This window comes from Homo sapiens, chromosome 11 (genome assembly GCF_000001405.40).
Source record: "Homo sapiens chromosome 11, GRCh38.p14 Primary Assembly".
NCBI classification, from domain to species: domain Eukaryota; kingdom Metazoa; phylum Chordata; class Mammalia; order Primates; family Hominidae; genus Homo; species Homo sapiens.
The window spans coordinates 60,474,737-60,488,885 of NC_000011.10; positions in this window are offsets into that span (position 1 = coordinate 60,474,737).

A 14,149-nucleotide genomic window follows, 5' to 3' on the forward strand; every position below is an offset into this window, starting at 1 on the left:
GCTGAAACTGGATCCCTTCCTTACATGTTACACAAAAATTAATTCAAGATGGATTAAAGACTTAAACGTTAGACCTAAAACCATAAAAACCCTAGAAGAAAACCTAGGCATTACCATTCAGGGCATAGGCATGGGCAAGGACTTCATGTCTAAAACACCAAAAGCAATGGCAACAAAAGACAAAATTGACAAATGGGATCTAATTAAACTAAAGAGCTTCTGCACAGCAAAAGAAATCACCATCAGAGTGAACAGGCAAGCTACAAAATGGGAGAAAATTTTTGCAACCTACTCATCTGACAAAGGGCTAATATCCAGAATCTACAATGAACTCAAACAAATTTGCAAGAAAAAAACAAACAACCCCATCAAAAAGTGGGCGAAGGACATGAACAGACACTTCTCAAAAGAAGACATTTATGCAGCCAACAGACACATGAAAAAATGCTCACCATCACTGGCCATCAGAGAAATGCAAATCAAAACCACAATGAGATACCATCTCACACCAGTTAGAATGGCGATCATTAAAAAGTCAGGAAACAACAGGTGCTGGAGAGGATGTGGAGAAATAGGAACACTTTTACACTGTTGGTGGGACTGTAAACTAGTTCAACCATTGTGGAAGTCAGTGTGGCGATTCCTCAGGGATCTAGAACTGGAAATACCATTTGACCCAGCCATCCCATTACTGGGTATATACCCAGAGGATTATAAATCATGCTGCTATAAAGACACATGCATACATATGTTTATTGCGGCACTATTCACAATAGCAAAGACTTGGAACCAAGCCAAATGTCCAACAATGATAGACTGGATTAAGAAAATGTGGCACATATACACCATGGAATTCTATGCAGCCATAAAAAATGATGAGTTCATGTCCTTTGTAGGGACATGGATGAAACTGGAAATCATCATTCTCAGGAAACTATCGCAAGGACAAAAAACCAAACACTGCATGTTCTCACTCATAGGTGGGAATTGAACAATGAGAACATATGGACACAGGAAGGGGAACAACACACTCTGGGGACTGTTGTGGGGTGGGGGGAGGGCAGAGGGATAGCATTAGGAGATATACCTAATGCTAAATGACGAGTTAATGGGTGCAGCACACCAGCATGGCACATGTATGCGTATGTAACTAACCTGCACATTGTGCACATGTACCCTAAAATTTAAAGTATAATAATAATAAAATAAAATAAACTATAAAGAAAAAGAATCTCTGGGCTAGCATTAGGCATTGGGATTTTTAAAAGGTCCCCAGATAATTCCAATTAAATCAAGTCTAGCCTAAAGCTGCCTCCTTACATTTTTTTTTTTTTTTTTTTTTTTTTTTTTTTTTTTTTTGAGACGGAATCTCGCTCTGTCACCCAGGCTGGAGTGCAGTGGCACGTTCTCGGCTCACTGCAAGCTCCATCTCCTGGGTTCACGCCATTCTCCTGCCTCAGCCTCCCGAGTAGCTGGGACTACAGGCGCCCACCACCACGCCCGGGTAATTTTTTGTATTTTTAGTATAGCCAGGATGGTCTCGATCTCCTGACCTCGTGATCTGCCCGCCTCGCCTCTCAAAGTGCTGGAATTACAGGCGTGAGCCACTGTGCCCTGCCCGCCTCCCTACGTATTTTAAGGTTGGCCTAAAAGTTTTTCTTTACATCGTGAACTATAACAAGTGGAGGTGTAAACAGACAGTAGCCTACCCTTGTGCCAGTCACTAAGTTTTGATCAATCAAATGTAGTCAACTGTTCAAACCGTGATCAAATAAGGTAATGTCAACCTGTAACCAATCCAACTGTTTCTCTACCTTATTTCCTTTTCTGTACATCACTTTTCCTTTTCTGTTCATAAATCTTCTTCCACCACGTGACTGTGCTGGAGTCTCTGAGCCTCTGGCTAGAGGAGGGGCTGCCCGATTCGCGCATCATTCATTGCTCAATTAAACGCCTTTAAATTTAATTTGGCTGAAGTTTTTCTTTTATCAGTACAGCTGCCGTGAAAACTAGTGATTTTAAAAATAGCATGCATCCTAGGTTAGAATGCTAAACGCCTGCGGAAAACTCAATTCTGCTGAACTCTACTCCATTTTGTCCTGTTCAATGAGAGCCTTTTTTTGAATTTGTCTTTCTCAGAGCTTTGCTAATTAAACATTTTCAAGAGAACTCAGGAAAGAAAAAGTCTTTAAGAGAATCTCTTGCAGTTCCACACTGGCAAACAAAAGGCCTGCAAAATAGTATATCCTAGATGGATCTTAGCTTTTTTTTTTTTTTTTTGACAAGCACCTAATTCAAATTTAAAAGAAGAAAAATTGTGTGTTGCATTCAATGTCTTAATAAAGTTTTCTGTCATCTCGTGATGCATTGTTCCTGTCATCAATTCTGATTTACTGCAGCTGTTTCCTGCAAAACGCAAAAGCGTAACTTCAACAAGTTTCATTTCCTATAAAGATAAAAGTACAGAAAGTTGTGGATACATCTCTGGGCAAATCTGTTACTGCAGAAGCTGATGAAAAATGGTGCCAGAGCTATTTACGCAATGAGAGCTTTCTGATGCTTTAGGGCTGGGGACTTCTCGTTTCCTTGATCTCACCTGGTTCATGGAGCAGTATCGTTCTTGTCATTGATGCTGCACCTCAGAGATTTGTTGCTACTGTATTGGCTGTTGTGGTTGTTTCCATCAAAGATGAGCAAGAATTGCTTTGAAGAAAATTTTACAACACCCAATTGTCAATGAGTTATTATAAGTGATATGACTGAACTTTAGCTCTAAGTGAATAGAAGTGTCTAAATTACACCTGCACCATCCTCTTGACTACTCACTAGTGAGATGGAGACTAATTCATCTAAATTCTCTACACTTCACAAAGGCAGGAATTCTTGTCTATGTTGTTTACTCCTATATACACAGCACTTAGTACCAAGCACATGGAAAGCTGAATTTGTTGAATTTGCTGACTGAATGTAGCCCTTTTATCTAGCTGTGTCTGTAGGCTCTAGACCTTCCACCATTCTGAGGTAATTGCTTGCCTAGATGCTCGTGCAAACCATTGAATTCTCTCTCTCCTGTCCTTCACAACCAAACAACTCAAAAGCAGAGTCTGCTTTCAGGTTTGAATGTTTTCATATCGCGTTCATTTTTCAGTGAATTACAGTCTGTCTATTCTCTCTAATACTTTTCTAGAATTGTTTCCCCAAATGCTGCCAATGACTTCTTAATTGTTGAATCCAGTGGATTCTACTCAATTCTCATTCTGTGAGATTTAACAACACTGCCCTTTTGCTTCCTTGCCTTTTGAGACACATGCCCTTCCTTAGCTTCCAAGATGGGACACTCTTAACTCTCTCTCCTACTTTCTTAGACATACACAATTTCATCTTCACTAGTTGCATTTTTTCTGACAACCAAATGTGCACATTCCTTACAAAGTGTTACCTTCCCCCAAAAACTCTCATCCATTCCCATAACTCAGTCTATCAATTTTAGGTAACTAATTCATGTAATTGCATTTTCAATCCTGTTTACTCATCTGATTTCCAAGCCTGCATGTCCGGGTATTTGCAAATTATTTCATAATGATCTCCTATCTGCAATGTAAAACTATAGAGCTGGTCCAGTCTGAGCCCGCGGTCTAATTCCCATGCACCTCCTTTTTAGCTTCCTGTCTCTCTCCCTTCACATCCTCCCCCATCATCCACACTCACAGCTGAGAGATGTATTTGATTTATTCCTTTTTCACTCTTTTTATCTAATGAAGTTCCTCATGTACTTTAAGTTTTGTCTACTCTAAAATGTCTCTAAAATCCAACTCTCCTCTTCTTTCTAGTCTTCACTTTAGGCCTAGTTTCTCATTTGCTCCTGCTGTTTCACTTATTTTATAAACGATTAATTGGAATTGTTACATCCCTACTTAGACATCTTGAATGATTCTCCAGTGCTTACCAATTAAAGTCCAGATGCCATGGACATATAAGATCCTGCATAGTATTGTTTTAACTTTTCTCTACTGCCTTCTCATTACACCCTAATTTAGCCACAGTCCAGCCTGGTTATTCAATTATTGCTCCTGAACACAAATAGAATGTTTCTGTTTTCCTCCTGTTTAGATATTGTTCCCCTACGTGGAATAGTCTTCTCTTTTTTCTCTCTTACTAAGTTCTACCTATTCTCTAAGATTCATCTCAAATCCTTCCTATTCCATGAGGTTTTCTTCTAATACTCCAATTTTATTGAGCTCCCACCTGTGCTATATTATTGAGCAATTATTTTCTCCTATGCACCAGGACATTATACCATTATTTAGCTCTTCTGGGCTGACTTATATCACTGGTTATCTTGTAAAATTATTTGTATTGAGATTTGTTTCACACACCATAAAATTTACTCTTTTAATTTTTTAAGGAGGTTTTTGAAGAAGCTCCCATACTGTTTTCCATGGTGGCTGTACCCATTTACATTCCCACCAACAGTGAGCAAGTGTTTCCTGCTCTCCACATCCCCTCCAGCATTTAGTTTCTTTCTTTGATAACAGCTATTTTAACTGGGGTGAGATGATATCTCATTGCAGTTTTGATTTGCATTTCTCTCATGACTAGTGATGTTGAACATTTTTTCATATACCTGTTGCCATTTGTATGCCTTCTTTTGAGAAATGTCTATTTTGCCCATTTTAAATCAGATTTTTTTTGTATTGAGTTGTTTGAGTTCCGTATACATTTCTGTTAATTAATCCTCTGTCAGTTGAATGGTTTGCAAATACTTTCTCCCATGCTGTAGGTCTCTTTATTTTATTTTATTTTATTGATTATTTTCTTTGTTGTCAAAAGCTTTAATCCAGCAATCTGACTGCTAGGTATATATCCAAAAGAAAGGAAATCAGAGTATTGAAAAGAGACCTGCACTGTCATGTTTATTGCAGCACTATTCACAGTAACCAAGATATAGTATCAACTCAAGTGTCCATGAACAGATGGATGGATAAAGAAAATGGGATATATATAATATATATAGGAATATTATTCCACCATAAAAATTAATGAAATCATGCCATTTGCTACAATATGGATGGAACTGGAGGACATTATGGTAAACGGAATAAGCCATACATAGAAAGACAAATGTCACATGTTCTCACCAATATGAGGGTGCTAAAAAAATGATCTCATGGAGATAGTGAATAGAATGGTGGTTAACAGAGCCTGGGAAGGGTAGTGAGGAGGGAGGGATAAAGAGGAGCTGGTCAGTGGGTACAAAAATATAGTTATATAGAAGAAATAAGTGCTAGTGTTCAATAGGGTGACTAGAGCTAATAATTTACTGTATATTACAAAATAGCTGGAAGAGTAGATTTGGAACATTCCCAAAATAAAGAAATTATAAATATTTAAGATGATGGATATCCTAATTACCCAGATTTAATCATTACACATTGTATGCTTGTACTAAAATATCACATATATGCCATAAACATGTACAACTATTAGGTATTCATAAAATTTGAAAAATTACCCCTTTGTTTTTAAATATATTAGGAAGTTGTACAACCATCACCACTATATAATTCTAGAATATTTTCACCACCCCTAAATGAAACCTAGACTCATTAGCAGTCACTCCCCGTTTTCTCCTTCCCCCAGTCTCTGGCAACCACTAATCTACTTTCCATTTCTATGAATTTGTCTATTCTGGACATTTCATATGAATGGAGTAACGCACATATATGGCCTTTTCTATCTGGATTTTTGCACTTAACATGATGTTTTCAAGGTTCATCCATTTCGTGGCATGTACTTCATTCTTTCTGATGAATGAATAATGTTTCAGTGTATGCATATACCACATTTTCTGTATCCATTCATCAGTTAATAGACATTTGAGTTGTTCCCACTGTTTGGTTATTATGGCTATGAACATTTGTATATAAGTTTCTGTGCGAGCATATATTTTCAGTTCTCTTGGGTATATACCTAGTAGTCGACTTGCTAGGTCATATGGTAACTTTATATTTAGCTTTTTGAGGAATTGCAAAACAACTTTTCAAAGCAACCACACCATTTTACGTCCCCACCAGCAAATTATGAGGGCTGTAATTCTCTAAATCCTCACCAACACTTGTTACTTTCTTTTTGATGATAGCCGTCTTTGTGAATGTGAAGCAGTATCTCATTGTGGTGATCTGCATTTCGCTAGAGTCTAATGATATTGAATATCTTTTCAGATGCCTGTCATGCACATACTGATTGGCCATATGTGTATTTTCTTTGGAGAAATATATATGCAAATCCTTTGCCAAATTTTAATTGGATTATCTTCTGATTGTTGAGGTGTAAGCTTTCTTTCTGTATTCTAAATACTAAACCCTTATCAGATATATGATTTGCAAATATTTCTCCCCTTCTGTGGATTGTATTTGCATTTTATTTATAGTATCCTTTGATGCACAAAAGTTTCAAACTGAAGAAATGAATTAAAAGAATCCTTTTGAGGAGATAATTTAATAAACAAGGCAGTTGGTGACAGAAGAGATCCAATGAATTAAAGAGGGTATGACTAAAATCTTAGAGAAATTGGAGAGGCAATATTTAACAACATTCTATAGCATTATCTAGGAAGAAGGCACTTTGCATAATAGGCGAAAATGAGAGTTGCTCCTTTTGTTGTTCATGTATGACTATTCGATAAGCAAGGAATGTGTGTGTCTATGTGCAAAGCAATACAGGGAATTAATCATTGAAGTCTACATTTTAACCAGCAAGAAATAAAGGAGGACAAAGTAAGGAGACAGAGATGGTGAGAAAGAGCAATGCTCTACTATAACTAAGACTCCTCCTTATGAGGCATCTTAATTTAGAACTATGCCTATGCTTTAGAGGACTGAAACAGGAGGAACTTGACTTAAATTATTAAGAGAATTACATTGGTTTAAAATAAGGAGAAGGAAAACTAATTTTCTTTTAAATGTACACCATGGGACAGGGATTAGGGTAGAAGCATTACATCCAGTAAATCATTTATTCCTCACCTCAACCCAACGAAGGTGGGTATAATCCTATTTTACAGAGGAAGAAATAGAGTTTAAAGAAACATCACTTCCCAAGGTCACACAATAGAGGAACTGGAATTCAAACTTCAGCCTAATTATAAAATATTCATTATTTCTCCTACTGTCTTAGGACTAAAAAGGAAAATCTCTCTATCTTCCATCTAAAGACATAACATATTACATTAACTCTTTACTTTTTTCCACTGTTTAACATCTTTGAGATCTTACAGTATCATAGGTTAAGTGGCTGAATTTTCTTTCTTGGTGTTGCATAAAATAATGGCACATCTTAACAACAATTATGTGATAGATTCAATGAACTACTCAGATATATGACTGACTTTTGATGGAAATTCTGGCAGAGATATTTAAAGAATAATATTAATAAAATAGTTTAGATTTGAATATTCACTCTCAGATGGAAAGCAGAGGCCTGGAATAGAACATCTCTAAGAGGCAGCATCTTTGTTTAGCTCTACGTTCTTCACACTTAGATGATGGTGCTTCATTCTGAAATATTCTACCTTCCAACACTTGGCAAACATCGTTTTTTACAGATCTTTCACTTTGCTTTTCTGAAAAACAAAAACATTTTATGACAGTACCCACCAACAGGACCTTTCATTAATAATGCAAAAGCTAAGGTGTGTTTGGAGGTATCCAGTAAAATCATAGAAGGATCAGGGAGGAGCAAACTTGGCCCCCAAGAGGCTAGGCCCAGACTGTACCTCCTTCACGTTTTACTCCAGAAAGCAGAAACTCATGACAGGAAGAGGAAGTGAACAGGGTGTGCATCTGATGATAGAGATCAGGGCTGGCCAGTCCTGCGTTCCCCAAACACCCTCCCCTCTGTTCCCTAATATGAGGATGGAGGAACTCCATTTCTTCACCCTATCCTCTCAACTCCAGGGGATACTATAAAAGGTGACCATTAAATAAGGGACCAGGACTCTCACCCTTTCCAATGCATGGGAATTTCCAGATCTGAGGAAGAGTCTATGAGTGAGTATGACAAGAACACAATTAGCCCCCGTATTGGACAAAATTAAATTATCATGCTGCTACTTTTAAACCAAAGATTGCTTCTTAGCCCCAGAGACCCCACAGACCCTCCCAACTCAGAGAAAGACTTGCTCAAAGGCAGGTTCAAGGATGACCTCTTCTGCAAAGCCTTTCCTCACCAACCACTGTAAATTCTTCTCTCATGGCCTGAGTGGATTTCATAATAACTGTGTATTTCACTGGGTCTGACTCTTGTCATTAGGATATAAGCTTCTTGAAGGTAATAACCATTTTTTACTCACCTCAGCATCCCCAGTCCCTGCTCATTCAATTTTCTTTGAATAACTATGTTAGACTTTGTTCTTTAAGAACTTAGTGAAATCATCAACACAATTTCCATTAGCAGCACTACCTCTGTAAAGCACTCAAGTTAGAACAAAAGTAAATATGTGCCTTATCTTCTACACAACTTTACTTTCCTTCAAATGATAAGTATGTGTGGTGATGGATGTGTTAATTAGCTGGATTTAATCATTCCACAAGGTGTACATATATCAAAACAGCATGTTGTACACCATAAATATATACAATTTTTCATTTGGCAGTATTCCAGAAATCAGCTCTAAGCACTTCAGCTTTTATCCTGTTGGCTCGGATGTTTTGAGAAGGAGGAGGTAGTGCAATTCACTATTTTTAGTTAATTCTCTTTTCTATATTTTGCTAATACCTTGTCCCCAAAAGCCAACAGGTGAGCCCCATTTCTGTATTCCACACAAAAGGCAACTCTCCTTCTCCAAACAGCTACCTGCACCAAGTGTACCTGTGACGATTCTGTCCTCTCCTCCAGGATCCTTCACTTGCCTCTGGTCCCCACATTTACTTTAACCTAAGTCTTGATGATTCTTTCTCCATATTGCAACAAAACAATGACATGTTTTGGAGTCCTCCCTACGTATCAAACATTAATAAAAGTATTCCGTACACATATCTCACTTCAGCTTCATAATAACCCTTTGGCATAGATACTGTTATTTCTCAAATTCAAAGACAAGTTGACTAAAGCACAGAGAGGTTAACTAATTTGCCCGAGATCACAAACAGGAAGAGAGAGAACAGGCATCTGTTCTGTATTAGATCCTATCATATTCTTAACCTCCATGGGTTTTACCTTCCCCGTTTGTCTTTTTAGACCTATCTTTAATCCTTACTACCTTGGCAACTTCAACATAGGCTTGTTATTGTTGATTTTTTTTTACTTTTGATTTTGAAATAATGTTACATTTACATGCAAGTTGCTGAAATACTACAAGGAGCTCCTAGGTACACTTCTGCCAGCTTCCCTCGTGTGCACATTGTATATAATCATAGTATAACTGCCTAAACCAGGAAACTGACATTTGTATAACACCACTAACTGAACCTCAGAGCTTATTTGAATGTCACTAGTTTTTAAATGCACTCACTATGCTTTGTGTGTGTATATACAGTTTATTCATCAAATGTAGAGATTTTTGTAACCACTACCATAATTGGATTTTAGAACAGTTCCACCATCCGCCAAACACTTGAGAGTATAGATCATTTCCATCACCAAAAAGAAACTCCCTTGTGTCACCCCTTTACAGTCCTACCCCATCCCTAGTCCCTGGCAACCACTGGTCTGTTCATCATCATATACTCTGTCATCTTAAGAATATTCTATAGATGGAATCATAGAGAATGTAATCTTTTCAGGTCGGCTTTTTTTCACTTAACACAACGCCCTTGAGATCCTTCAGTTCCTGTATCAATAGTTTATTACTTTTTGTTTTTGAGTAGTCCGTTGAATGGGTATATAGTTGGCTTAGCTACAACCTTTCATTTTCTTCTAGCCTCCTATAGTTCTTCTACCAGAATAATCCAGTGATTCTCAAAACACAGAGGGAGGCCTTCCTTCAATTGGTCATGAATATTAAAAAGCAGAATTCTGGATCCTGTTTGAGGTCCATTGAATCTGAACATCTGAGGGTAAGGACTAGTGTTACAATATCTGTAGTTCACATACTTCAGTGTAGATGGTGTAGTATTGATTGCTTTTTAGTTGCATTAAGCTATAATAGAAACCTATGTTTTTTTTTTTTTTTTTTTTTTTTTTTGAGACGGAGTCTCGCTCTGTCGCCCAGGCCGGACTGCGGACTGCAGTGGCGCAATCTCGGCTCACTGCAAGCTCCGCTTCCCGGGTTCACGCCATTCTCCTGCCTCAGCCTCCCGAGTAGCTGGGATTACAGGCGCCCGCCACCGCGCCCAGCTAATTTTTTGTATTTTTAATAGAGACGGGGTTTCACCTTGTTAGCCAGGATGGTCTCGATCTCCTGACCTCATGATCCACCCGCCTCGGCCTCCCAAAGTGCTGGGATTACAGGCGTGAGCCACCGCGCCCGGCCTAGAAACCTATGTTGCTTCCACTTTAATTAGGAATGGTGATGATTAACTGGCACTCTAATCACAAATTCCATTCTTCAGAGGCAATCAGTGGTATTGATATCAGACCCTTTTCTAATTAGAATAACACATGTCCAATTTTTAAAAATATGAGTGGCTTATGACATAGCATTACTAGAAATGGATTCTTATCTGTGAAATTAAAGACATCAATATTTTAGAGACATCCTAAACCCTAGCATGAACAAGATATAAGAATCTACCAATGTCTGTAGGCTTTACCCTTCCACCCTAAATTTATGCCAGATCTTTGGACCATCCATGAACTTGGAAGGCTCTGATGATAGGAGTCTATTTCTAGGAAACCTGGCTTGTACACCCAATTGAAACTTGCAGATAGAATAGTACTAAGCAGAGTACCTAAAGGATACAGAAGCTAGGAATGTGATAAGCATTTTCTACCATATTCACTTATTAGAGCCTAGAATAGTGCCTACAGTAAGTATTTGGTGAATTTCAAAATGTGCTCTATTCTTTTATCGCTTTCTAATTTAAACCAGTCACAGAACCAATTAATCCCTAACTAGTGAAATTCAAGGTCTTTAGTAGATAAATACTTTCTCTAGATTCAAAATACTTGACCCAAATGGGCATACTGTATAAGTATTGTTGTAAGATTTCCAACCACTTGTCATTTTCTGAGGTTGCACAGTGTTAGGAGAGAAGCAGAGAGATATGTCTCCTTGCCTTTCCAAGGTTCTGAGTCAACGTCTAGTTATATCAGAAAAAGGAGAATAAAAGAATAACTGTTCAAAACAAGAATTTTTTTTTAAGCAAAGATTAACCATGAAGGACACCTGGTGGTGAAATCTGTCACCATCATGTCACCATCGCTCCTCTGTACCGTACCACACTTGCCGCTTGAGGCCACTACTGAGGCTCAGATACTGCACACATGTGAGTTTCAAGCCTTTTGAAAAGCCATGCTGTGGAAGCCCCAGCCAGTCATTAATTCATGAGTGCACTCTGCCTCTGTCTCACTTCACTCTCCCTGATTGGCTCAAGTTTACCTAGCGACTCAGTCAGGCTCCCAGTCGCTGAAGGTGCCCTGCTTTAGTAGAAAAAGTAAAGAGTTTGGACTCAGACACACCTGGACAGACTCTCTACCACTTTCTAACTACATGACCTTAATCATATTGCTCACCATGCTACGACTTAGTTTCCTGTGTGTAAAATGGCAGTTAAATCTATTATGGCATTGTTGGAAGAATTAAATAAAGGTTTATGCAAAGCCAAACAGTACCCATTAAATGGCACATGATATTATGTCTAAATCAATCCTAACCTGATATTGAATGTACTACCATTCTCTACCCACCAGTGACTGAGGTTTAGAATTTATTTCTATACATTTTCCAGGAGCCCTAAGCATGCTAACTCTCCTCTTCTTATCTTTATTCTGACCCTGTTTATACCACTGGGCCTCGGTTCTTTCACTGACCCTTTCAGCCTGAGTGACCTAGCTCTCACCATTCCCCTTCCCAGAAGACTAGACCTGACTCCCTGTACCTCTAGCTGCCAGATAGAGCCTGTCTGGCAAACATGGAGTCATAATGGTTGACAGGTTGGTGTTACCCAAACCGTTGACCACAGACCAATGCTAGACTACTTTCTTTCTTTCTTCCTTCCTTCCTTCCTTGCCATTTCATGAAAATATAAATACAGAAAATGAGAATAAAGCTTGCATCGCTTCTCGGCCTTTTGGCTGAGACCAAGTATGGAGAGGAGTATGTAGTAGCAAGTAGTGACTTCCGTCTCATTGAACAGGGTATAGACCATCATGCATGCAGCTTATACAACAAGTTGTATGTGGTATGAGCTTCATATTGGTCATGCTCTATAGGACCACATTGCAACACGTAATATGCTAAGGTTGGTTTGTCAACTCTAACTCAATAAAATATATTGAAAAATTGAGAAAATTTAAACATTCTTTATAACCGATTATTCCATTGGAAAAGCTCTGCTGAAAACATTTGAAATAGGTAGTGAACTGTTTGCGTTTCATCAAGACAAGAAGCCTGTTTGATCTCAACTTGTCAAAGATGTGCCTATGAACAGAACCACTTATTTGTGTGATATCTTTCATAATTTAATGATTATAATAACTCTATGCAAAGAAAAACTGCAGGTAAGATTAAAGGGCAAAAACAAACATTAGAAGCTTAGAAAAAGAGCATTTAACAACTAGCAAGAAAGTGGTTGATGATTTTGATATTCCACATCTGCAATAAGTTATTACCAATCACCGTATGAATTTTATATTTTTTTGATGGAATATAAAATTCAGAAGAGGTCCAAAAATGGAAAATTAATCTTTCTAGAATGCATTTTTCTTTTTCATAAATAAATTTTATTGTATATATTTAAATATACAATTTGATGTTATGAGATACATATAGACAGCAAAAAGCCTCTGTAGTGAAGCAAATTAACAAATCCATCATCTCAGTTACCTGTTTTTTCGTTTTTGTTTTTGTGGCAAGAGAAGCAAAATCTATTCATTTTGCACGAATTCCATATACATTACAATTTTATTACTTACCATCCTCATAGTGTACCTTAGATCTCTAGACTTGTTCATCCTACATATCTGCTACTTTGTATCCTCTCATCTACATCTCCCATTTCCTCCCCCAGCCACTCCTGCTAACCAACATTTTGTTCTCTATATCTGTATATTTGAAATTTTTTAGCAAAAATGATATCAAAAGAGAAGAACCAAGTTAGAGGACTGACACTATCCAACTTCAAGACTTACAGTAAAGCTACAGTAATGAAGACAGTGTGGTATTGGTGAAAGAACAGACAAATGGATCAATAGGTGAAATCAGCCAGACACAGAAAAAAATATATCGCATTATCTCAAAATCCATTTTTTGATCAAAAGGAAAAAAATTATAGACAGGATAAATTGTTAGCAGTGACTACCGATGGACTGAATATGTACTTTGAAAATATGATATCACTTGTTTTGTTATATATAAGAATTTTAAATAAATATTCTGGGTTTCCAGCCGGGAGCTGTGGCTCACACCTGTAATCCCAGCACTTTGGGAGGCCGAGGTGGGTGGATCACTTGAGGTCAGAAGTTCGAGACCAGCCTGGCCAACATGGTGAAACCCCATCTCTACTAAAAATACAAAAAGTAACTGGGCGTGGTGGCACACACCTGTGATTCCAGCTACTCAGGAGGCTGAGGTATGAGAATCCCTTGAACCCAGGAGGCAGAGGTTGCAGTGAGCTGAGATCATGCCACTGCACTCCAGCTTAGGTGACAAAGCGAGACTCTGTCTCAAAAACACAAACAAACAAAAATTATGTGTTTCTGAAATTATTCCAAAATTTATTCTGTTCCTGTCAACATACCTCTGTGAGACTGATTTCTCTATTAGGGGTATTGTTAAAACAAAACATAGAAACAGTTTAAAAATGCATTATCCTCTGCAAGTAGCACTGCCATCAATCCGAGTTAAACAAATTAATAAGCAAGAAGCAAGTTTATTTAAATAGTGGAAATTTAAAGAGTGATGTACACAATGTTTATTCCAAGTGTGTATTATAGACTTTTAATGCAGGAAATCAGTATTTCCTTTGTAATTTTTGTTTAGCTACAGTTT